Source organism: Homo sapiens, chromosome 10 (genome assembly GCF_000001405.40).
Source record: "Homo sapiens chromosome 10, GRCh38.p14 Primary Assembly".
Lineage (NCBI taxonomy): Eukaryota > Metazoa > Chordata > Mammalia > Primates > Hominidae > Homo > Homo sapiens.
The window spans coordinates 103,733,997-103,759,050 of NC_000010.11; the positions used below are offsets into that span (position 1 = coordinate 103,733,997).

The 25,054-nt window shown below is 50.9% G+C and overlaps 1 protein-coding gene and 1 long non-coding RNA gene across 3 annotated transcripts in view, besides 5 other annotated features; one reads left to right on the top strand and one right to left on the bottom strand.

The window, feature by feature from the left end:
• The window catches only part of SH3PXD2A (SH3 and PX domains 2A), a 261,550-nt gene that overhangs the window by 139,970 nt on the left and 96,526 nt on the right, over nt 1-25,054 (bottom strand). For both annotated transcript variants that reach the window (NM_014631.3, NM_001394015.1), the window contains exon 4: nt 1,736-1,812. In NM_014631.3, the coding sequence (NP_055446.2) occupies nt 1,736-1,812 (77 nt within the window). The remainder of the gene's footprint in view (nt 1-1,735; nt 1,813-25,054) is intronic.
• Nucleotides 11,828-12,349: an enhancer, noted in NCBI's record as "H3K4me1 hESC enhancer chr10:105505582-105506103 (GRCh37/hg19 assembly coordinates)". NCBI's record gives its function as "activates a minimal SCP1, AML or CMV promoter by ChIP-STARR-seq in primed H9 embryonic stem cells {active_cell/tissue: H9 hESC(primed)}" and the evidence as "EXISTENCE:reporter gene assay evidence [ECO:0000049][PMID:30033119]".
• Nucleotides 12,766-13,266: an enhancer, noted in NCBI's record as "H3K4me1 hESC enhancer chr10:105506520-105507020 (GRCh37/hg19 assembly coordinates)". NCBI's record gives its function as "activates a minimal SCP1, AML or CMV promoter by ChIP-STARR-seq in primed H9 embryonic stem cells {active_cell/tissue: H9 hESC(primed)}" and the evidence as "EXISTENCE:reporter gene assay evidence [ECO:0000049][PMID:30033119]".
• SH3PXD2A-AS1 (SH3PXD2A antisense RNA 1) lies at nt 12,783-21,413 on the top strand. Its single transcript, NR_038940.1, has 3 exons — nt 12,783-13,100; nt 15,786-15,924; nt 19,848-21,413. It is a non-coding gene; the product is annotated as an SH3PXD2A antisense RNA 1 (long non-coding RNA).
• Nucleotides 13,267-13,767: an enhancer, noted in NCBI's record as "H3K4me1 hESC enhancer chr10:105507021-105507521 (GRCh37/hg19 assembly coordinates)". NCBI's record gives its function as "activates a minimal SCP1, AML or CMV promoter by ChIP-STARR-seq in primed H9 embryonic stem cells {active_cell/tissue: H9 hESC(primed)}" and the evidence as "EXISTENCE:reporter gene assay evidence [ECO:0000049][PMID:30033119]".
• Nucleotides 21,931-22,588: an enhancer, noted in NCBI's record as "H3K27ac-H3K4me1 hESC enhancer chr10:105515685-105516342 (GRCh37/hg19 assembly coordinates)". NCBI's record gives its function as "activates a minimal SCP1, AML or CMV promoter by ChIP-STARR-seq in primed H9 embryonic stem cells {active_cell/tissue: H9 hESC(primed)}" and the evidence as "EXISTENCE:reporter gene assay evidence [ECO:0000049][PMID:30033119]".
• Nucleotides 22,589-23,244: an enhancer, noted in NCBI's record as "H3K27ac-H3K4me1 hESC enhancer chr10:105516343-105516998 (GRCh37/hg19 assembly coordinates)". NCBI's record gives its function as "activates a minimal SCP1, AML or CMV promoter by ChIP-STARR-seq in naive H9 embryonic stem cells {active_cell/tissue: H9 hESC(naive)}" and the evidence as "EXISTENCE:reporter gene assay evidence [ECO:0000049][PMID:30033119]".

Here is a 25,054-nt window from a genome sequence, read left to right on the forward strand (position 1 = left end):
TCCTCCTGCAACAGCTCTGTATGAGGACACTGTGATATACATTCTCCCTACTCAGCTCCCATGTGAGGTAGTGTTTTTATATTCATTTTACAGATGAGGAAACTAGGGCTCAAAGAGGCAAAGCAGCTTGCCCAAGGTCACGTAGCTAGTAAGTGGGCACCGGGATTCGACTCCAGCTCTTCTCCTTCTGATACTCTAATACCAGCACTTGTGAAATTTTATACCTTATTTGCCACATTATAACACATTATACCACATCTTCTCAAGATTTTTGAGTCAGGAACCACAGTGGGTTTCATTTAACTACGAAATTCTAGCTCTATTAAAGCCAATGGTGCCCAGTAGAAACATTAAATTATTTTGTGTTTGCTTTATTTGCTTGTTTTTTTTTTTTATTTGCTTTTAATAAAGCCTTTTCACCAGTCTGGGCAACAGAACGAGACCCTGTCTCAAAAACATGTTAAAAATATGGCTGGGTGCGGTGGCTCACGCCTGTAATCCCAGCACTTTGGGACGCCAAGGCAGGCAGATCACTTGAGGCCAGGAGTTTGAGACCAGCCTGGCCAACATGGCAAAACCACGTCTCTACTAAAAATACAAAAATTAGCCAGGCATGGTGGCGCACTCCTATAATCCCAGTTACTCGGAAGGCTGAGGCATGAGAATTGCTTGAACTCAGGAGGTGGAGGTTACAGTGAGCCAAGATGGTGCCACTGCACTCCAGCCTGGGCTGCAGAGAAAGATCTTGTCTCATCAAAATAAATAAATAAATAAAAATTTTTAAAAAATAAAGCTTTTTCATTTGCTTGTTTATTTAATACAAATTGTTTGCCCTTTGTAAAAATAATAACAAAAGCATCTGCTGAATGCTTCTTCTGAGCCAGACGCTGTGCTGTTGCCTTACAATGTGCCAGCTCATTCCATCCTCATGACCACCGTGTGGAGGCACCCTGTGTGTTCTCCTCCCTATTGGACGGATGTGGAAATAGAGGCTCAGGGAAGTTCAGTAACTTGCCCAAGTTCATGAAATTAGACAGGGCTTCCAACCCAGGAAGACTGGCCCTCCAGAGGCCATGTGCCAAGGAAACTGAGGGCCGCTCATCCTCTGGTAGCCACTCATGCTCTCTGCAGCAGCGCTGGGCTCTAATCAAAGACAGACAGGTGGGCTCTGGCTCATGACACTGCTGTCCTTCTCCTGCCTGCTCTTTGGCACTGGCTGTGTTAATGTGCATGTGTTTGTGTGAACACCTGCATCTGTAAAGATGTGTACATGAACATTTGTAGTTACCAAGATTTAGGTGAATAAACAAATGTGTACTGCTGATGCTAGTGAACTGATCCCAACAACATCCCAACAGGAATTCAAAGAAATAGTTCTTCTATGTCCAGCAAAATCTCACATAGAGAAGCAAGCAGCCCTTCAGAAGGAGGCTCTTTGACTTAGCTCCTGAGCTCAGTTCACTTCCCAGAGGAAGTGACTTAAAACTGTGTTTTGTAAACATGGATATGTCCTGACAGGCACAGAAGCTTAGCTGTGAACCCGAGGTCCTTGGGTCCCAGAGGGTGGCCCAGCTACGGGGTGATCCCATACCCACCCCTCTGGCCAGGAAACACCAGGCCTCAGGACGGTTCTGTACAGCAACCTTTCCTCACAGATGGACACTCAGGCAAATGGGCCCCTCTCCTCCCTGAAGCCCTCCCCGAGCCCCTCCCCCAGCCCCAGATACACTCTCACCCGGCAGTATTCATCGATGGGCTTCAGTCTCTTCACAGCTACGTCCCGGATGTGGCTTCTGCGGAAGAGGATCTTGCCTGGAAGAGAGATGCTCATGAGTGGGGGATTCTGGCTAAAACTGCTACAGAGACCTTCTCATTCCCCTCTCCCTTGGCTTCTCAGCATCTTAGTCCAGCACTACCTGCCACCACCCCGTCCACGGTCAAGGAAACAAGAGAGAAACAGTCACCTTTCCTGGAGGGCAGGAGGCGCCCTAGGCTGAGAGCCCAGGACCTCTCTGGTGGGTGAGGAGCCCTGGAGGCTGCCATCTTGGGATTCAATGAGTGACTTGGCCAGGCCACCTTGCCTGGATCTAATGGCAGGATCAATGAATGCCCGGAGTGGGTGCGGCTCTCAAGTGACCTTGCAAATCAACACAAAGTAGAGCCCAGCCCACATGCTACGCTTTGTTTTCAGGCCCATCCCTCCTTGAGAAATCGGCATTCGTTCCTGCCAGCTGGGCAGGAATTCCTATTCTTAGTTTAGGTGGGTGGCTCCTTCCAGGGCGGGCACAAGGCAATACCAAGGGAAGCATGGCTGTCCCAGCCTGACTCTTCCCTGGCCTCGCTGCACACACAGCCTCCAGCCATACGGGCTGCTGCCAGCTGGGCTGGGACACCCCTCTACAGGTATGGGCAAGGCTTACAGGAAATGCCAGCCCCTCAGACCTTCCCAGCTGACTCTCCCAAGCTGGCCACATTCAATCATAACAAATGCATCAAGACATAAGTCCTTTTCTAGTCTGAGAAATTTAGAATCTGAACTCCTTGGTTTGATGTTCAAGGTCTTACACAACTGACTTCTGTGCTAGGCGGCTGTCAATGTCTAGGGCCAAAGCCCCCTTTTCAGAAGGCCTTCCTTGATTGGCTGAGCTGGGAGTAATGTCCCTCTTTCCAGAACATCCACAACTCGTTGTCCATTCCTAGGCTATCTGCCACATTCTGCTGTGAGTTATAGCACTTGTGACCCATTTTGGGGCCCATGAGCTTGGCACATGATGAAGTGCTCACCTGTAGCTGTAACGGGCATCTGTTGCCTCAGTCTACCTAATTTCCCCCTGGAGAAGGCATCTTCCACTCCCAGTCCTTGTGGTGTCAGTCAGTCTAGCCACACCCCCTAGCAACAAAGGTAGCCACAGGATGCAGCCTAGTCAGCCAGAGTCACAGTGATTGGCTCAGTGGTGGGGAGGGACCCAATCTGGGCCAATGAGAGTCAGCCCTGAGACTGCTTTTTCCCACGGTTGCTAAGCTGGCAGGATGAAAGCCTGGCACCTCTAGTGGCCTGGGAAGCAAACGGAATGAGAGAAAGGAAGGGTGGCTAGCACAAGACAGGTGCTTGGTAAAAGCTTCTTGAGTGATTGAAAAGCCAAGTGGAGAGAGGGAGAGACAGAGCCCTTTGACATCATTTCAGCAGCTGGATGTCGGTAGCTGTTCCTAAACCAGGGTCCACCTGGTACTTTTCAGTTGCATAAAACAATACCATTTTCTTTTTCATTTAAATGAGTTGAAGATGGGTTTTCATAACTTGAATTAAAGGACACCCAATTTAGATCATTTCCATTGCATGTGAGCAGACAGGTAGACTGCATATGAATCCACACCAGCTGCTTCTGTCAAGGTCCGAGTGAAGTACTCAGAAAAGCCATTGCCTTGATTTAGATTATTCCCCCAGACACAGCCCCAGAAACAAGGATTTGACTTGTTTTGGAGGCGATCCCAAGAAATATCATTAGGGGAGTGGGACAGTAAGGGCAGGGAGGGGAAGGAAGTGTTATCAGGCCAGTTAATCATGGTGGGCAACTAGAGCTCAATTCTGCTGGGGGGCTCCAGGAGATGACAGAGAATGTACCTGACATGTGGAGGCTGGGGATCTACCCACCAACTCCCTGTTTGTCACTGAGGACTGCCTCTGAGGGCGTTAACTCCAGCACATCTGGCTGAGTGTGTGCCCATGGCTAGACAAAGCCCTGAGGTAGAAGGCCCTAGTGGCTCCAGTGAGCAGCCTTTGGTAGGCAGAAGTGAACAGACAGGGGACCCAGGGGCCATGAAAACCCCAGCTGCAGCCACCCCTGACTTCCCTGCCACCACAAGCATTGGTCGCCAGCCCTGCTGAAGTCAGACAGTGGAACGTGTAACTGCATCCTATTGCATGTGACCTGCTTCCCGTGGATATCTCTCATCTCTCCATGATGGCTCTGCAGCTCACCCCTCCTGTCTGCCCCCACACTACATGGAGCACTAGGCTTTGCATTCAGCAGATGCTCAATGAGTGCTTGCTGGGTCATTCTTGTTCCTCTCCTGGACTCTTGCTCAAGCTCTCCTTCATCATCTTTTCTCTGAAGCCAGAGGGCCGGGCCATCTCCCTGTCAGATGGACAACACTGTGCAGACAGACGACATCACCAAGATGAAGCGGCTCTGCCCTGCGTCCCTCTCGAAAGGAGATAAAACGTGATTTATCCAGACACTGGCGACGCCGCTGTTCCTTGGGGGAAGATGTCACAGATTCGGTATTCCTTGCCTCTTTGCCTCCTACCCTTTTTTGGTTGCCTGTCGCTTGATTGCTCACATGCCACAGGCTACATGTGTGAGGCCAGGGGGAGGCTGTGTAAAAATAAAAACATGAGGTGACCTGAGCTCAGGACTGCCAAGAAGATGGGTGGCCCTGGGGCTGGAATTCTGGGCCTTTCTAATGAAGGCAGTTGTTTGTCAGAAGCTGAGGGATGCCCAGACCCAGTGACACCAGCGGTCCAGCCGTATGAGCAGGACCCTGAAGGACTGTCTGAGATACAGAGGAAACCCAGGGGGACCACAGGAGGGTGGGGGAGGGCCCACAAACCTGCATGGAGCAGGGCCTCAGCCTCCAAAAATGCACTCCCGCCCTTTCTCATCCTGTTGGGGGACAAAAAAGAAAGCAGGGAGATGGGAAGATAAATGGGGTCCCTCTCCCAGCCCCCAATCTCAAGGTTAGCCAAAGCTCTGGCTGAGGCTTAGATCATTCCTGTCCTAGTTGCAGACAGAACTCTCTTTTTTTTTTTTTCCCGAGACGGAGTTTCACTTTTGTTGTCCAGGCTGGAGTGCAATGGCATGATCTCAGCTCACTGCAGCCTCTGCCTCCCGGGTTCAAGCAATTCTCCTACTTCAGCCTCCCGAGTAGCTGGGATTACAGGCATGTGCCACCACACCCGGCTGATTTTGCATTTTTAGTAGAGTGGGGTTTCTCCATGTTGGTCAGGCTGGTCACGAACTCCTGACCTCAGATGATCCGCCCACCTTGGCCTCCCAAAGTGCTGGGAAGAACTCATTTTAAAAACTAGTTAAGGAGCACTGAGGCCTCCACAGGTGTAGGAGATCCAGAGAAGGGAGGGATAGGTTGGGGTGGGGAGGTAGATGAGAGGGTGCTCCTGACTCCTCCCCATGCTGGCCCCAAGCACAGGACCCCGCCCTGCCCTCCAGTCTGCACTCTGAGTGAGGCCACCGGGCCACTGTGCCTGGGGCTGCCCAGTCCTCCCCACCAGGCTCCTGGATCTGCTGCTCACTTGCAAGGTCAGAGGAGAATTTCTGCACAAGCCAATTCCCAGCTGAGTTTTTGGAAGCCCAATGGGGCTTCCCCCTTTCCCGCTGAAATCCTGACAGGAGCAACGTTTTCTTTTCCCAGGGCTTTGGCACAATTGGCCAGTGGGGGAGAGAGGGAGGGAGAGAGGGAGGGCCTGGAAGGGATTCTCCGGTCTTGACTTCTCTGTTAGGAATCCAAACCACACTCTGAAAGCCAAACCGGTGACCGTATAAAAAGGGGGAGAGAAAAAGGAGGGGGAGGAAAATCCCCATGAAGGAAGCCGGGACCACAGGGCATTAAAGGCCTCTTGTAAATATAGTGCAGCCCGTTGACGGCAGGGCTCAGCTTCTGCCAGAGTCTTCAAAGCCATCCAGATGCCGCCCTAGGAATCTGATGAGCATCGCAAGGAAGATTGCACGGGGCATGAGACAGACCTAACTCATCAGGATTAACTCAGTCCTGAAAGCGGAGAAGAAGCTGTGCAGCTGCGACGTCTAAGCAGTAACTGGAGGTCCTTCTTCCTGCCACTCTGGGCTGGGCTGGGGTGAGACCAGCGAAGGAGTGGGGGCCTCCGGTGGGAGTCTGGGGTTCAAGTCCTACCTGGGCCACAGGCTGGCTGTGTGACCCTGAAACAGGTCCCTTCTCCACTGGGACTGCTGTGTGCTCATCGGAGGCCTGGGCTCTATGGCTGCTACCTCTGGAAGCCCTAAGATTGATTGACAGTGGGGACGTTAGTGGGCAGAGGAGGAAGGAGGAAAGGGTTAATGGTAGCTAAGCGCTCAGCACACACCTGGTGCACACTAAGAGCTTTTCACTGAATTCCCTCCCTTCATCCTCGCAACAACCTTGAAGCAAGTACTTTAACCAGGCCCATTTTGTCCTAGAGGAGATGGCAGCTCAGAAAGGTTGAAGGACCTGTCCAAAGTCACACAGCTATCTAGTGGCTGAGCTGGGATTTCAACCTGGGGTTTTAAAGCTTAGAGAGTGTGGGGGAGCCATGATCTTTGCACTTGGATCATGTCAAGCCTTGAGAGCCACCGTGAGGACTTTGGATTTTATTCTGCATGTGAAGGGAGATGAGAACAGTTAAACCCCCAAACCAACCACAGCCTCCAGGGCTCTTCTTGGGAAAGCGGTACCTATGGGATGGACTCCCATGAGAGCCAGGGCCTGGGGCCTCAAGTAGAATCACCAGACACAGTACCACTGGCCAGGGTCCCCACACCAGCCATGAAGAGTTTGGTAGCTACCTCCATGAACTAGGACCCATTTGTAGAGGTAATAAGAGGGCACTGATTATAGGAGCCGTAAGAGAGGGCTGGCCTCGGGACCTCTTCTGGTCTGAGCAGGCTGATCTATTCCTGGCAGCCTCTCCTCTTCACACTCACAGTGTCTATGCATGCATGTACAACTCCTTTTTCCCTGTCTTTCTGCCACTTGGAACGCCATTCATTCTTGGAAGACTTCCCCCTGCCTTTCCTTCTTTCCTTCCTTCCACCCTTCCTTCCTTCCCTTGATCCACCCAGCACTGTCTTGATGGAGGCCTGCTGTGCTGGGCTCTGTTCCAGGCGCTGGGAGCACAGCAGTGAACCAGACAGATGAGGGCCTTGCTCTCAGGAGTTTACCTTCCAATTGGGAAGGGAGTGGGCACGGGAAGAAGGCAGTACACATTTTCATACCTATTGAGTAATTTGGTTATACTTCCAGGTCTTCCCCCATCTCTACAAAGATAATAACACAGGGTAATGTGAAGAGGGGTGCCTAGAGAAGAATTTAGAGAATGGTCAAGGAAGCTTCTCTGGGCTTCAGTGGAGCCTTCAAGGAGAAAAAGCAGCTGTGCAAAGCTCTGGAACAAGCGGGCTTGGCCAGAGGAAACTACAACAGCCAAGGCCCTGGGGCAGAAGGAACTGGACATGATGGAAGACAGAAAAGAGAGGAGCCTGCAGCCACAGAAAAGAGTTTGGTTTTATTCTAAGTGCCCTTGGGCCTGCCTACTTAACACTCATTCTGTCTTTAAGGCACAGTTCCATGCTGCCTCCCCCATGAAGCCTTCCTTGAATGCTTGTCTCGCCCTTCCTTGCCAACCACTAGGGCCCTCTGGCAGTCACCCCACTCTGGCCCTCTCTCCCCTGCTGTCCTAGAGAATTTGTCAGGAAGCCACCCTCCTCAGGACCCCCTCTCATCTTCTCAAGGGGATCCCTGATTTATAGCAACAGGGTCAGCAGCCCCTTGGGCTCAAGGAGGGCCAGCTCCTCCCAGCCACCCTGGCCTCCAGGGATACAGATGCTCACAAACCCCTCCCCTCAATGCAGCCCAGAGAGCCCAGGCTGTCGAGGGAGACTTGCCTAAGAAACAAGGGAGAGCACAGGTGGGCCTGGAGCCCACAGACTGCACGGTGCAAAGGCCTCGTGCTCCAAGGACAGCCCTCCTGCCCTTCTAACTGGGTCTGAGAACAGAAAGGAAGGTGGGAGGCAGTTGTCACCTAAGGCTGCTGGCACAAATTACCACAAACCCAGTGGCTTAAAATAACAGGAATTTGGCAGACCATGGTGGCTCATGCCTGTAATCCCAGCTGTTTGGGAGGCCGAGGCTGGAGGATCGCTTGAACTCAGGAGTTCAAGACCAGACTAGGCAACATAGTGAGACCCTGTCTCTACAAAATGCTATAAAAAAAATCAGCCGGGCATGGTGGCGCACGCCTGTGATCCCAGCTACTCAGGAGGCTGAGGTAGGGGGATCGCTTGAGCCTGGGGGGTTGAGGCTGCACTGAGTCATGATCGTGCCACTGTACTCCAGCCTGGGTGACATAGTGAGACTGTCTCAAATCAAACAACAACCCAGGAATGTATTCTCTGCCAGTTCTGGAGGTCAGAAGTCTGAAATCAAGGTGCCAGCAGGGTCACGCTCCCTCTGGCGGCATCAGGGAGAGTTCTTCTGCACCTCTTCTAGCTTCTGAGGGCTCCAGGCATCTCTTGGCTCGTGGCAGCATCACTCCGATCTCTGTCTCAGTCTTTACATGGCCTTCCCGCCCCATGCCTGTGTCCCACATCTCCTTCTGCCTTTCTCTTATAAGAACACCTGTCACTGAGTTTAGTGCCCACCCTATATCCAGGATGATCTAATTTTAAGATCTTTGATTACATCTGCAAAGACCCTTTCTCCAAATAAGGCCAGATTCACAGGTTTCAAGGGTTAGGACTTGGATATATCTTTTTGGGAGCCATTATTCAACCTACCGCAGGGTAGTTATGGGAGAGTCACAGGGCATACCAGTCACCTGACAGGGCCCTATATCCCTAAGCGGATTTCAGTGGCCCCAAGGACAGGGGTGGTTTCTATACTCCCTGAATCCCTGGAAATGTCTGGCATGGCGCTGGGTGAAATGGATATGAGTGCAGCCTGAAGCCCTCGTGGGGGACAGGGGAGTGTCTGAACAGAGCAGCTCCGGAGTCTCAGCCTGAGAGGAGACAGGCAAGCTGTGGGGACCTGAAGCCGAGAGAATGGGGGGGCGGGTCCTTCTCTGGCTCTGAGGGCTGATGTGACACCCAGGAGAGAAGAGACGAACAGATTTCCCAGATGAACTGGAGGAAAGAAGATGTGAGGATTCCTAGAGGGAACCTCCCTCCCCCCCTCAAGGGTGACACGCATGCTCGTGGGGTGATAAGACACAGGCAATGCATGTGGGAGGAAGGAGGAGAAGTTAAGTTTCCTACTCCCACAGCTCTCTGTGGTCCTGAGACCTGACCAGGTCCCTGTGCAAAGTGGGCTGGACCAGCCAAGGATCCCATGTCCAGCTGCCCTCACCAGGCGCCTCCATCCGTGTTGTTTGCTGACAGATTGATGAAGACAGAAGCTCTTAAATGAAGGGCCCTGGGCAGGGGAGGGCAGAGAGAATATAACCATGATTCCACTAATGGGGCTTTCTTCACCATTAAAAACAAAACACAAACGACCCCTCTTTCATTCTAAGTCTGTTTGATTTCAGAGAGGCTGTTACCAACCCCCAACTCACCGAGTCACTGAGGCTCGGTGATCCAAGCTGGTCCAAGGAGAAGCAGACTGGGACTCTTTTTTTGTTTGTTTTTGAGAGAGGATCTCATCTGCCACCCAGGCTGGAGTGCAGTGACTCTATCATGGCTCACTTCAGCCTTGAACTCCTGGGCTTAAGTGATCCTCCCACCTCAGCCTCCGAAGTAACAGGTGCACACAACACCCGACTACATTTTTATAGTGATGGGGTCTTGTTATGTTGCCTAGGCTGGTCCCGAACTCCTGGTCTTAAGTGATCTTCTTGCCTCAGCCTCCCAAAAGGCTGGGAGTATAGGCCTGAGCCACTGCACCTGGCCCAGGCTGGGACTTTTGATGGTTTAAAGCAAGCAGACACCAAGAGGGTATGCCCTGGGCCCTAAGAATACCCAACTCTAAAAACAAACAAACTCACAATCTACTTCTTTGATGCCTGAGATTGCAGAATCAGAATTTAGTTTCTTTAAGATTTTCGTCAAGATATATCAACTTTTTCCTGGAGAATGGTACAGTGAGCCTTATTAACCATTCACACCTGAGTATGAGCAGGCACCGGCTTCTCACTCAATAACAGGGTCTCGCTAGGGAAGAGAGCATAGAGCAGAGAGGCCTTGATGGAACTGGATGTAATGGGCAGGGGAGAAGAACGGCGGAACAGCCTCTACTGGCTCCCCTGTCTTCCTGAAAGCTGGCCCTGCTCTTGATGTTCAGCTGTTTCCTGACCATGGGGCCACCCAGCTTTCACCTGGGTTAGCCCTGCCTAGGCTAGGGTGGGAGTGGCTGAATGGCAGGCCCCTGCTTGTCTTTTTTTTTTTTTTTTGCGACAGAGTTTCGCTCTTGTTGCCCAGGCTGGAGTGCAATGGCATGATCTCGGCTCACCGCAACCTCCACCTCCCGGGTTCAAGCGATTCTCCTGCCTCAGCCTCCCTAGTAGCTGGGATTACAGGTATGTGCCACCACACCTGGCTAATTTTGTATTTTTAGTAGAGATGGGGTTTCTCCATGTTGGTCAGGCTGGTCTCGAACTCCCGACCTCAGGTGATCCGCCCGCCTCAGCCTCCCAAAGTGCTGGGATTACAGGCATGAGCCACCGCACCTGGCCCCTGCTTGTCTTTTTAAGTGCTGCCCCTGAAACTCACATGTCACCTCTGACCCTCTGCAGCCTGGGGACTGCAGGTCACCTCTTCCCCTGCTGGGCTGCCTCCAGCTTCTGGTGCAGCTGAGATGACATCCCCAGAGTCTACAGCCTTGTACCTGGCTCAGATCACACCCTGACACCCAATCCTTCCTTCTTCACTTGCAACATCTGGCTTTGTTGCCATTTACTTGGGCTGGGGGAAGGCAGGAGTGAGGCCTAGATGCTGAGGCTGGAAGCAGTGGGCACATGCAGGTTCCGGAAAGACACAATCCCCATAGCGAAGGTCAGCAGCCTGAGGCATACTGACACCATGCCCTGAGTTCTGGCTCCCATGAATCTCTCTTTAGAGCCAAGATGCTGCCTCTGGCTTGAAGTCTAGCATGGTAGACATTGGTAGGTTTTGTCTGCCAGCTTTTAATTATTACAGTGCCCGATTTTCTTTTGGGAAACAATCCCTCCTTCATTCTCAGTCCATGGGATTTCAGTGGGGTTGATCCCATCCCAAACTCTGGGGCTGATCATTAAGTACAGTCCAGCCATGGGCATGCAACCCACATTGGTCCAGTGGGAATCAGCCTGGGACTACTGCTGGAACTACCAGGAAGAGATGTGTTCTCTCTCTACAGCTGCTAACTCATAAATGCCAAGCCCCAAGCTGCTAGGAAGCATCTTTATGTATCTCTGTTACCACCTGGGGGAAGCCTATCAGAGAATTAAGTCAACAGAAAAGACAGCAAAGCTGAGGGCTTAAGAGACACAGATTTGGTCCCCTAGATCCAGCTATGCCTGAAACCATTACTCTTGGTTTTCAGTTATGTGAACCAATAAGTTTCCCCTTTTTTCTTAAGCCAGATTGAGATGGGTCTATTTCTTGTCACCAGGAGAGTCCTGACTGGTACATCTGGCTCTGCCAGTTACTGTTATGTGACAGGGGATGAGTCATAACCTATTCGAATGCTAGTTTCCTCAGACTACAAAATGGGAGGCAGTAATGTCTAATGCAAAGGACTATTACGAGGAGCCAGTGAATGAGTCTGTAAAAGCATTTAGCATGGAGCCCAGCCCATGGCAAATGGTGAACAAATGGGATCTCTTATGAGTTGACACTTCCAGGTCAAGGAGGTGGGATGGGGTGGGGTGGGCCCTGCCTGTCTCCTTGCTGGCCACGTGGAATCCAAGTACCAGAAGCATTTCCCAGGCACCCAGTCCATCCACCTGGCTTCCCACCAAGGCCAAACACGAGCTCCCCTCAGCCTGCGGCTGCCCTTCCTGATTCACCCAACCCATAAACACATCTGTGTCTCCCACACGGCTTCCGTTTCTCGGAGGCCCAACTCAGAGGGCAGAGGACGTGACACAATGGCAAGGAGGCCAATTGTTCATTCCACCCGCCCCCTAGGGGCATTCTAGGGTGACTCACACAGGTGTGTCTGCCCGCTCCAGCACTCCCCACTCCCTCTCCCACACGCCCAGGGAAACACACTTGCAAAAGCCCACTGGGGTTCACGACAGAGTGAAGCCTTCACCCTCCTGCAGCCACGGCTTGCTTGCAGAAAGCATCAGCGCACCTTGGAGGGAAGAACGATCTCCCAAATTCTGGTTCGGAGGTTCCCATACCCAGTAAGCAGAGCCAGGCTGAAGGGAACAGTATCTTTCTCTCCCTCACCCCAGGTGGGTCAACTGGGATTTTATGGGTGTCTGCTAGTGATAAAGCACCTAGTCCCAGGCCCATGGAGGGACTAATACATCTTTGCTGAACCAAATGGAATGGAAGTCTTTTTGAGCAGCATTCTAGAGCAGTGGGACCAGAACCATTTCTTTCTTTTTTATTTTTATTTATTTATTTATTGAGACAGGGTCTTGCTCTGTTGCCCAGCCTGGAGTGCAGGGGAGTGATCTCGGCTCACTGCAATCTCTGCCTCCCGGGTTCAAGTGATTCTCCCACTTCAGCCTCCGGAGTAGCTGGGATTACAGGCATGCGCCACCACACCAGGCTAATTTTTTGTATTTTTTTGTAGAAACTGGGTTTCACCATGTAGCCCAGGCTGGTTTTAAACTCCTGGGCTCAAGCGATCCTCCCAGAGTACTGGGATTACAGACGTGAGCCACTGCGCCTGGCCTCAGAATAATATTCTCAAACCATAACCCTTGCTTAACCCTTTCAGTGACTGCCCAGGGCACTGAGGATAAAATCCAAACTCCCTTCTGTGGCCGGGCAGGATTCAGCTCCTGCCTCTCTCTCCGCCCGCCCATCTCCTGTCACTCTGCCCACGCCACAGACACATCCTGCTCTTCCCCACCTCAGGCCTGTGTGTTCGCTGTCCCTGTTCCTGTTCCTGGAGCACTGTTCCTGCTGCCCTTTGCCCAGCCATTGCCTTGCATCCCTCATTGGGAGGCCTTTGGTGGCCATGTGCCCTCTCTCTCCGGCCTCCGTTGTTTCCCTCCCAGAATCTGCCACCATTGATAATGATCTTCTGAACCTGCCTCTTTACAGCGTTCCCTAAGGACAGAATGCAAGCTTCTTGCAGCCAGTGAAGCCCACGAACGTATCCTCAGGGCCCAGCACAAGGACGGGCACACAGGGACCCCGACCGCGACTTGCTGAAAGGTGAGTGAGTGTGAGTGTGTGTTCACACTGGCTTGCTCTAGGCTGTCTCTCATTTACACACCCCCAGACCCCTGGCAGACTAGCAAATACAGCTCACCCCACACATTAGGGACGGCAGCTTCAGCCAGAGCTGGGGAGAGGGGTGGATTCACCCTCCAGGACGCAGACACAGTGGGGCCAGAGTGTGGTTAGCTCAGAGGCCGGCATCAGGGCCAAGCTGTACCCCCTCCATGTGGGCGTGGGTGTGGTGGGCGTGGTGGGCAGTGGCTCTGTACCCTCCCTGTGGGAGCCGGGAATAAAGGGCCCCATTCAGCCTGTGCAGCCTCGGCTCCTCCCTCCAGGGGAGGCTGCCCTCAGGAAAGACGGTGGGACGCTGGGCAGAGCTTCCTGGCAGCCTCTCCCTGTGGCATGGTCCACAGTGTGGGGGGCTTGGCGAGGGGCACGAGGCCTCTGGAGCTCAGAGAAACACTGCAGAATGGCCCAGCCAGATGAGGAGGCTGTGGGGCAGGCAGATGGAAGTCCTGGGTCGCAGTGATGATGCTGAAAGACACCCACTCACTTCTGAGGCTCTGAGACAGAGGAAAAGCCGCAGGAAGCAGAGGCCTGTCGGTAAAGGGCCCAAAACCACAGGCCTGGCCAGGCCAGCCACAGGGGAGTTTGCCTGGCTCTCTTGGGATGGACACTGTCCACCAAAGCCTGCTTTCATTTTATTTATTTATTTATTTATTATTTTTGTAGAGATGAGGTCTCACTGTGTTGCCTAGGTTGGTCTTGAACTCCTGGGCTCAAGCAATCCACCCACTTCAGCCTCCCAAAGTGCTGAGATTACAGGTTTGAACCACCGCGCCTGTCCCAAAGCCTGCTTTCCTTGAGCTTTGGTTCTGTTGGCAAAACTGAGCCCAGACAGTCAACTCTCTTCATCAACCTCCCACCAGCATTTTCTGTGGTTCCACCCATCTCCTGCAAGGATGGTGACAGTAACATTAAGAGGACGTAACATTCATTGAGCACTTGGTATGTGCTAAGCCCTGTGCCGTGTACTTTATATTTATTATGACAGTTGATCCTCATAACAACCTCTGAGCTACATACTGGGTGCTGTTGTTATTCTCACTTTACAGATGAGTAAACTGAAGGTAAGAAAAGTTGAGTGCCCCGCCCAGGGTTGCAAAGCGAGGAAGTGGTGGAGCTGGGATTGGGTGTGCCACAGTCTCTTTCTTTGGGCAGACTGAACATGCCTAGGCTCCTAATGATTCTGCTATCTTCCTTCCTTTCCCTGAGCCCCGGGCTGTGCAACCTGTGGCCAGCTTTCCTGACGGGGTACATCTCAACCCTACCCCATCCCTGAAAGAAGGGGCAACACGCAACACCCATTCACTCCCTCCCAAATGCTGGCACTGTGCTGGGGGCTGGGCTGTGATGGTGACGGTCCCTGCCCTCGCAAAGGATACTGTGTATGGGCACTGCGCTGTGATGTGTTGGCTGTCATAGGCACACGCAGGAGGGAGACAGGGCTGAGGAAGTGGAGAGAGTGAGACAGGCAAAGGGAAGCGGGAAGAGTGTTCCAGGTAGAGGGAGAGTCTGAGCAGAGGCCCAGAGACTGAAGAGACAGGCACATCTGAGAAGCTGAAGGGAGTCCAGTGGGTACGTGCATCAGGACGCATGCTGGGAGGTCCCTGGGGTGGGGTTATGAAAGGTGCCAAAGAGACTGAATGGCCACACAGAGCACACTGAAGCCACTACAGTTGCATATTCAGAAATGCCTGAGTTCCTGGACCTCCAAGGCCAAGGACCATAATGTTCACGGTGAGAAGACACCAGAACCTTCAGACCCTGCCCGAAGCCCTTCTTCCTGAAGTCTTTCTTTCTTTCTTCTTTCTTTTTTTTTTTTGAGACAGAGTCTCGCTCTGTTACCTCCCAAGTAGCTGATATAACAGGCATGTGCCACCACACCTGGCTAATTTTTGTATTTTTAGTAGAGATGGGGTTTCACTATGTTAGCCTGGCTGGTTTCGAACTCCTGACCTCAGGTGATCCACCCGCCTTGGCCTCCCAAAGGTGGGAGCCACTGCACCCAGCCTTCCTCACATCTCAGGAGCTCGGGGAGCAGCCTGGGCCTGGTCACTGGCTGGGCACATACAACGTAAACTCACACCACAGCCCATGTGGAACACAGGGGTGAAGACCAGGTGACCCCAGAGGCCATCTTGTCCAGCCTCCTCACCTTCTGAAGTCAAAGCTAAGCTCTGAGAGGGTCACGCTTTGCCCACCTTCTCTTAGCAACTCAGTGACCAGGCTGAACTCAAAGGGCACCCGACCTGGCAGCCTGGTTCTGGCTTACAGACAGCCTAGCAAACGTAGCCTATAAGCTTCTGTGCTTCTGTGCTTCCAGGCTACATCTGCTAGGGTCTCCAACTCAGCTGTCTTTCCTGCCTCCAATTTCTACAAATCCTAACCCAACAACAAGAGCTGCCATCCACTAACAGTGTTTCATAGAACTGAGGACTCAAAGGAGGCTGTGGAAGTCAGCCTCCAAGATGGCCCCAGTGACTCTTGCCTCGTGGTCCCCTCCCATACTAACCAGGGCTGACCTGTGGAAGCAATTGGATATTGTGGGAATAATCGTATGACTTACAAGGCTAGATTATAAAAACATTGTAACTGCCTTCCTCATCTCTTTCCCAGATACTCATGCTGAGGGAAGCCAGCTTCCATGTTGTAAGGATGCTGAAGCAGCACTGTGGAGATCCATGTGGCAAGGAGCTGAGGCCTCTGCCAGCAGCCAGCGCCAGTCTGCCAGCGAGATGAGCAAGCCGTCTTGCAGGTGGGTCCTCTAACTGCAGTCAAGCCTTCAGCTGAATCTCGACTATAACCTCATGAGAGATTCTGACTCAGAACCATCCAGTTAAGCAGTTCTGAATTCCTGGCCCACAGAGACTATGCTGAGATAATACATTTTTATTGTTGTTGTTTGGAGACAGAGTCTTGCTATGTCGCCCAGGCTGGAGTGCAGTAGCACAATTTTGGCTCACTGTAGCCTCGACCTCCGAGCCTAAGTGATCCTCCCACCTCAGCCTCCCAAGTAGCTGGGACCACAGGTGCATGATGCCATGCCCAGCTAATTTTAAAAAATTTCTTGTAGAGATGGGGGTCTCTATGTTGCCCAGGCTGGTCTCGAACTCCCAGGCTCAAGTGATCCTGCCACCCTGGCCTACAAAAGTGCTGGGATTACAGGTATGAGCCACCGTGCCTGGCCTTTTATTGTCGTTTTAAGCTGCTAATTTTGGGGGATGATTTGTTACCCAGGTAACTACTACAAGGCCTAGCACTCCTTTTGGAAGGACAGGGTCCCTGTGTTACCTGAATCAGAGATATTTGGAACACTGGTAACGAATGAAGTTCCTAAAATTTGCCCAGACACCCTGAATTGAAGTGGAAGGGGATGGACAGGGCGAGAGTCTGCCTTTTTCATGAGCCCCCTGAGCGATTCTCATGTACCTCTGAGGCTGAGAATTACTGACAGAATCTAATACCTTCCAGACCTGGGGAGGCTCAGAGAGCTGATGGGATGGTCCCCATCCTACACACAAGCTGAGGCAGGCCTGAGCCTAGAACCCAGCACCTGACTCCGGGGTCAATGCTCTTTCTGCCTTGTCCATTCAGGTTGCTTTGTTGAGGGGCACGGGCTTTTTTTGTTTCTTTTATTTATATTTAAAATCTGTATATAGCAAAATGCGACACAGCCAATTGTTTGTCTGCTTAAGAGCTTGCTTTGCTTTGCTTTGCCTGTGAACAATTTTGTCAGCACTACCCACAATGAGGGCCTAATGCTAAGAAGGGCAGGGCAGTGCTAGGCCACGCAGAGAGGCTGGCACTGCCGCAGAACACCACAGCGGGAAACGGACTTTTTCTACCACTGAGCTGTCTCAGCTCCAGGCATTTCCCCCAGACCAATAGAATGCAGAGTATGCAAGGCAGAGAAGATGAATGAGGATAATAAGGGAGTGTACCTTTAACCCTTGTCAAACTGTCACCCTAGTAGGTAAGATTAATATTCCCACTTTCATTTGTATAGAACTTTGTGGCTTAGAAAGAATTCACGCATGATCTTATTGAATGACTTTTGTAGACTACAAGATAGATAGGTCATTCAGTCATTCATGCTACACATGTATTGAGCAGCTACTACATACCAGGTAACGCTGTAGGCACGGGGGATATATAGATTTGTTTCCTTGCTTAATAATTATTTATATATGTCTACTATGTGCCAGACACTATTTTAAGCATTTTACAAATATTAACTAACTTATTCTTCACAACAGCCCAACAATATAGATACCATTATTCTTCCCATTTAACAAGGAAATTAAAGCACAGAGAGGTTAAGTAACTTTTCCAAGGCCAAACAACTAGTAAGGAGCACTATGGGGATCTGAATCCAGGCAATCTGGCCCTAGGTTCCACCCTGTTAACCAAGATAAAATGAGATACGGTTCTTGCTCTTCAAAATCTCCAGCTTTAAAAATCCTCATGGGCACAGATGAAAAAACTAAAGCTCAGAGATATCTTCTGAATTTCCCCAAGTCACACACTGCTGGGATTAAACACCAGATCTAATTCCAGGCAGTGTTAAGGAAGGTTTAGCTAGAGATGGGTGCAAGAGAGGCAACAAAGAGGGCGTTTCTAGAGTCCAGAAAGAGAGAGGGTTTCTCCAAGCCCACTGGCAAGTTGGAAGCATCCCAAGAGACACCAAAGCAACCGAATAACCCGCACTCCCTGTCCAGGCCCTCGTGATCTGTGACTGTCTGCTGCCCAGCCGGTATTCATGCCTCCTGATATTTTGGGGCACTGTTATTTATAGATCATGTTTCTATTTATATTTTCATTGAATTCCTACTAACCCTAGCTGATTCCCCGCCTCCCAAACCTAGAGAGGGGAGGATAAGAACTCTTTTTCACCAAGTCAGTGAGGGGCAAAGGTGAAGGTCAAAGTCTTGGCTGTGTATGCAGTCTTTCAGCAGGAGCCCTTTGCAGGGAAACATTCAGGACAAGGGGGCTTTCTCTGCCTTCCAAAGGAAATGGAGGAGTGGAACAGGGGAGTGGGAAGGGCACAAGGCTTGCCTTATACAGAGGCAGCCACGTTCTGCCAGTACAGTGGGATTTGAGGCAGGCCTAGAGGACTCCTGTTCTCCTAAAATGTTTTCCCCTTTGCATGATATTCCATTATTAGGCATTTATTCCTTTGGTCTTAATAGCTATTAGATCACTAAATGCTGGGACTATGAGAAAACCTAGACAGCATCAAGTCCAATACTTGTATTTCACAGACGAGGGAACTCAGGCTCAGAGAAGGGCTGTGACTTATCCTTATGGGGGATTCTGAACTAATAAATACAAATCTATTACAATGCACAGAAGAACACCACCCTAATGTTGGAGAAACTGCTGTCATGCACAGCAAAAGAAACCGGACAGCAAAGCAGACCCCAGGCCCAGAGTTCCTCCCTCACCAAGTTTTAGGAATGAATAAGTAAAACCCTGCGACTTTTCCTAAGGTTCTATTTGGTGCCTCAAAGGAAAACTTCTCAGTTTTCGTGTCACATAGAAACATAACAGTAAAGTGGGACATCTTTCTTCCTTGTTTTCAGTACTCTGTTGAATCGTGGTTTAGGAAATAATATCTGTGATGATTATCATTACAGAGTTACTTCATAGGTTTGGGTTTCCAAAGCCAGCTTTCCAGAATTCAATTATTTCCTTCTGGACACTATGCCTGCAATTCCAGCATCTGCCACTAGGTGGCTGGTAGCAGTTGATAGATTAAGTGAAAGGTGACTGAGAAAATAATGTAATCTAGCTAAAACTTTTACCATAAGAATGTGATACTTTATTAAAAGGACAACATTGATCAACCTCTAATATGTATATATATATATTTAAATGAGATAATACTTGAAACAAGGTTTAAAGATAATGCAAACACCCTGGTGCAGGCAACATACCTGCCATTTTATACCAAATCTTAACTGTTAATCTCCAGACAGTACATCTTTGGTCAATCCCACTTTGTGGCAAGGACATAAAGAATAGTGGTCAAAGGCTGGGTGCAGTGACTCACGCCTGTAATCCCAGCATTCTGGGAGGCCAAGGTGGGCAGATCACTTGAGGTCAAGAGTTTGAGACCAGCCTGGCCAACATGGTGAAACCCTGCCTCTACCAAAAAAAAAAAAAAAAAAAAAAAAAAAAATTAGCCGGGCATAGTGGTGGGCGCCTGTAATCCCAGCTACTTGGGAGGCTGAGGCAGGAGAATTGCTTGAACCCAGGAGGCAGAGGTTGCAGTGAGTCGAGATTGTCCCACTGCACTCCAGCCTGGACAACAGAGCAAGACCCCATCTCAAAAAAAAAAAAAAAAAAAAAAAGAATAGTTATCAAGAGCTTGGGCTTGGAAGTGGAGGGAACTGGGTTTGAAGCCCAGCTCTGCCTCTTACTAGTTGAGTGGCCTTGGGTAAGTCATGCACCCCTTCTAGCCTGTGAGTCTTCATGTGTCAAGTAGACTTGTCATTAAATGAGACAACATAAGCACATGAATCCTTTGCACAGTATCTGGCAGAAGTATATGCTTAATAAGTAGTAGCTATAATCCTTAAGCAGACATTCTCTCTCATTTATAATAGTTTAATTTGTTGAAATTCCAGGCCTCACACAAAGTTCCTTAGAAAGCTGTTTGCAACTTTTTCCCTACAGCCAATTCAACGAATTGTTATCTCTGGACCACTGGGCTCACATCGTGAACAGCTGCTCCACCCTCTGTCTTTCACCAGCAAGTTTTTCTGGTAACAAGACCACATAGGTCTCACTTAAGCCATCTTCACCAACTACCAACTATTAAACTGGTTAATTCGTCTTTCAGATCAGAAACAAGAGGCCAGGAGTAAAAACTGTGCCAATCAGAGAAGAATTACCTGGCCACCAAATTACCAGTCACTCACTCATCTCAACTCTCCTCCCTGGCTCCTTTACTTTGAAGCTTAGGTCTGCAATGGTTATTTTATATAGAAGAGCAAAATATGCTCCTTTCAAATTTCACTTTTTTTTCTTTTTTGAAATTAAAACCAATTTTGTTTAGAGACAGGGTCGCACTCTGCCACCCAGGATGGAGTGCAGTGGCATGATCATAGCTCGCTGTAACCCCAAACTCCTGGGCTCAAGTGATCCTCACACCTCAGCCTCCCGAGTAGCTGGTACAGGAGTGTGCCACCATGCTTGGCTTCACTTTATTTTGTTGACTTAACTTTTTCCAGAGACATCTTACAAGAGCCTGTTTTCCATCCTAACAGTACGACGTAACTCCAGACATAGGCTTTAGACGTTCTCATGCCACCCTATCTTCAAAACCACAGAGAGTTCATGAGCCAGTCTTGCCCATCTCCAATCAGGGAACTTCTAAAATAAAAATCTTAGCAATCTCCTTGGCCCAAAACTTCACCCCATCTTGGAAGGGAGGGGAGAGAGAATGTTCTGATCTATATCTGATGAGGGCGTGTGGTTGGGACCTGAGCATCCTCCTGGTTGGGCTAGTGATGGGGAGAGAGGGCTGTTACTCACGACTCCCTCCCACAGAATACCAGAAACAGGCAGGCAGCTCAGGTGTATGTAAGGATGTGAGGCCAAGAAACCAGCCCTCACCAAGTTACCCCTGTAAATCCTTGTCTCCCCATGCACCTCTACTTTGAGTCAGAAATGGATTCATTGCAGGCTCAGTTGTTTGTATTATGTGAATGAACTGAACGTAACCAAGCACCAAGAGAGCCCTAAAGACACAGTAGACCTCCTGTAGAAGGGCTCTGATGGACCTTCAAACATTGCTTCTCCAACTTTATGGTGCACACAAATCACCTGTGCATGTTAAAATGCAGACGGTGACTTACAGATCTTGGGGGAGGCCAAGTGTCTGCATTTCCAACAAGCTCCCAGATGATGGCCACACTGCTGATCTGAGGACCACATTTTGAACAGCAATCCTTAAAACACACAAGGCTGTGGGACCGCACTCCTGAGAAGAGACCTCACTCTTGGAAGGGATTCTAGGAGGCTGCATTCAAACCATCCCAGAGACAGCTCACAATTTTGTTAGGGACCTGATACTAAAAATTACCAAATCACAATCGTGTGCTGAGGGCTTACTTTGTGCTTTTCAGATGACATTTCATTTGATGCTCTCAATAACCCTGAAGGGATTTCAGAGATGGGGATTATGATGGAGCTTCAGAATTAAACTGATTAAAACTGGCCCAGAGTCACACAACTATGAAGAGGCTGAGTTGGGATTTCTTTTAATTTTTATTTTTTGAAACAGGGTCTCACTATGTTGCCCAGACTGGTCTCGAACTCTTGAGCTTGAGCAATCCTCCTGCCTCTGCCCCCTGAGTAGCTGGGACTACAGATGTGAGACAGCATGCCGAGCCTGCTGAGTTGGGATTTGAACCCCAGGTTTGTCTGGCTGTAAGTCCTCCAGTGTGGAAGTACGATAGCTACCCATCTCAGCCACGGAAAATAGCAGAGTTTTGGTTCAGGCAAGTAGCACTAAGTAGAAAGCCCAGGTATGAACCAGATCTGCAGGAGCCCAAAGTCATTGCTCAGAACCACCCCCTACCCGCTGAGAAGTTCTTCCTGTCCCTGGAAGTTCTCTCTGAGATCCACCCAAATGTGTCCTCACTAAGGCGAAATCTGGCTTCTCCTGTTTGGGCCTGGGGAGAAACATAAACCTAGCCCCTTTCCTTCACACGAGCTTCGATCTTGACAGTTGAAGCCTGCAGGGGTGTCGCCAGGCCACCCTGTCCCTGACAGGTAGAGAAAGGCGAGGCTGCCAGCCAACCCCCACCCTCCACATTTGCCTCCTCCCTTCCCTTTTGAAGGTACATTCAGATGAACGGGCTCCATCTTCAGGCCATGCCAGTCCCCTGGGGCCAACTGTGGTCTGGAGGCTGGGCAGCCTGGCATCCTGGGGCCTCCTCAGTGGACATCAGTCCTGGGAACTGTGGAGGTGAAGGGGGAGGAGGTATTTTCAGCGCCCAGAACGATGGATCTGCTGGGTGCCAGGCAGCCCTGGATGAATGATACATCAGTTCACACAGGTGATGCCTAGAGCCAGCTCAGTCCCTGCCAGAGAAGAGCTCTGGCTTGGGGCTTTGTCCTTGGGCCTGGGTCCAGTTGGAGTGACCCAGGAGGGCAGTGTGCGGGATTAGGCCAGGGACACTGTGGGAGTTTATCTCTTCCAGTGCCCCTCACCTCCTAAGAAGTTGTTGGGGGCCGGAGCTCCTTCTCAATGCGCCTCAGTGTTCCCCTCCACCACCATCACCCGCTGCTGCCACTCCCGAGCCCTCAGTGAAACCTGGACCCAGAAACCAGAGTGCCCAGTGCCCAGAGGCTCCTGGGGAGGGAGGCTGCCCACCACAAAGCACCTTTCATATGCTCCAAAGGCTTCGGCCACCTCAGGGAGGAGGGAGGAAGTCCTTTCCCTTCACCCCCACGGATGCAGCCCACAGGCAGGAGTGGGGAGTGGTGGTGAGGTGAAACACTCCTTCTGCCATCTTGGCCAGGGCTGCCCAGACAGAGCTATGGGCAGTCATCCTCGACCCCACCCCACCACCTCCAATCCATCAGCATGGCCTCTTGGCTGTCCTTCTAAGACAGACCTCAGTCTACTTCCCTCCACCCAGGGCCCAGCCTAGGCCAAGTCACCTTTGCCCTCTCACCTGCCTCTCCAGGACCCCAGCTGGTCTCCTCTGCTCCGTGCAAGCTCCCGCCAGCCCCTTCTCCAGACTCCACACAGGCCTTTGAGGCCTAGCACCTTCTTCTGTCTCTAGCCTCAGCTGCCCACTTGCCCTCTCACCTCTATCAACCCTGGTCTCAGTAACCATCCAGTCTGCCATCTACGCTGGAGTATGAGTTGGCTGGAAGCACCAACCCTGGGGACACCAGGGTATAACTGTACTCTCTCAGCATGGAGGGAAAGGATCCAACCTTGTAAAAGGACATTTAGGCATCAGGTAAGGAAAGGATGTATTTCCAGGGGGAGGGAGTGGAGGGTAAAGGACAGGAGTGTCACCGAGCCCTGAAATCATGCCTGTCACTTTCTGGTGACTTTGCCAACAAGCAAGGTGATCCCTGATTGCTCAAACTTAACTTCTTCAATTTTGTGCCATGGTGATTAGCATGGGGTGCACTAGAATCCAGGACTCTGGAGACCCAGGCCCGGGTGCATTTTCTGCGTCTTAGATGACACAGACTGACTGAGACCATGAGAAGAGACAGGCTTTTCGGCCCAGATCAGAAAGTTCCTGGGGAAGATACCTAGGATACAATCCATCCAGGACGGAGGGTTGGGGGTAGGTGTTCAGGAGCTGATTCCCTTCTAGAATGATTGGGAAGGCACATACCAAGTTGTAACAAGGTGGCCTGGCTCTTTTCCTGGTCTTGGAATGTGGGGATGTCGCGGGGGAAGGGCTTGGGAGACTGATCTACATTTCAAAAGTAAAAAAGCCCCTTGCGTGGCTGACCCCTGCAAAGCTTGTTACTCCCTGCAAGACCTGGAGGGTCTGCAGCTCGGAGTCTGGAAGGTAGTGACAGTGACACTGCCATGTGATCAGAGGCCGGATCCCCACCTTTCATCCCAGATCAGCCATCTGGGTCATCTGCTCTTTAGAAACAAGCTCCTTGCTGCTTTGCAAGTTACCACAGGCCGGGAAAGAACTGCAGGAAGTGAGGCTGTGCCTGGGCTGCGGCCTGGGCTGCAGTGGGAAGAGCTGACTCAGCACAGAGTGGGGAGGGCAAAGGAAATCCCACATCTGTGTCCTGCGGCAAAGCCACCACGAGCACAGACAGGCTTGCGGCACCAGTCCTCTCCCGTTGCACGCCACACAGCGCTTTCCATGCATTAACTGCTTGCGATGTCACCAAACCATGATCAACCCATTTGACAGATGATGCTACAGAGCCTGGAGTCCGTGTGACTGGGCCAGATGGCACAGCTCACAAACACACAGGTGGAGCCGCTCTGGAGTGTCTTGGCTCCACAAGTCCTGTCTGCCCAGCTGTCTCTGGGTGACTCAGCACTCCTCACTGTTCCACACACTTCTTACTGTTCTTCAAACATATACCGGTGGTCCGACTAAGGTTACTGTTCTTGCTGTCCCCCCAAGCCTGGCACCCCTGGGCCCTGATGATCCAAACCTACTCAGTGGAGATGTCACCTCTGCAAAGAAGCCCTTTGTGACCATCTAATTTCAGATGCCTTGAGCTGTAGCACCTGCCACATGACCTGGTTATTTTTCCTTCTGGCACTCATCACTCTTGGAAATTGCTCATCTATTTGTCTTCTGACTCCCACACTGGAAGGTAAACTTCCTGAGAACCACAACCAGGCCTACTTTGTTCTCAGTCATATCACCAGTGACCACAGCTGGCACACAGTATGTGTTCAATAAATATCTGTGATAGAAAGGAATGAATGTAGCTATTCCACGCTGTGTTCAGAGTCAGCTGCTGACAGCAGGCCCTGAAAACTGCCCGTCCAGATTACAGAGTAGGAGACTGATTTTTGGGGATGGGAAGCAGTAATTACATCAAGAGAAGACAAAATACCTCCAGTGGAGGTTGGAGGAAAGCTGTGTTTAAGATGGCACACGGTGCCTCTCAGGCCTATAATCTTGTTGACCTTTTTAAACCCCAGAATTACCAACAGACCCTATTTTTCCTTCTCCATCACATAGTTTGGCTTTTCCTGACATCCCAGGTCACCTGTGGGACCCAGAAACTTCTCAACCTCTCTTCCTTGGGGGTTGCAGTCTGGTGAAATCTCTGAGCCACAACCTCCCTCATAGCATCCAGGGCCCTTCAGGAAGGGCTTTCTCAGCTGGTGCCTGGTGGAGACACACACAGACACCTATAGC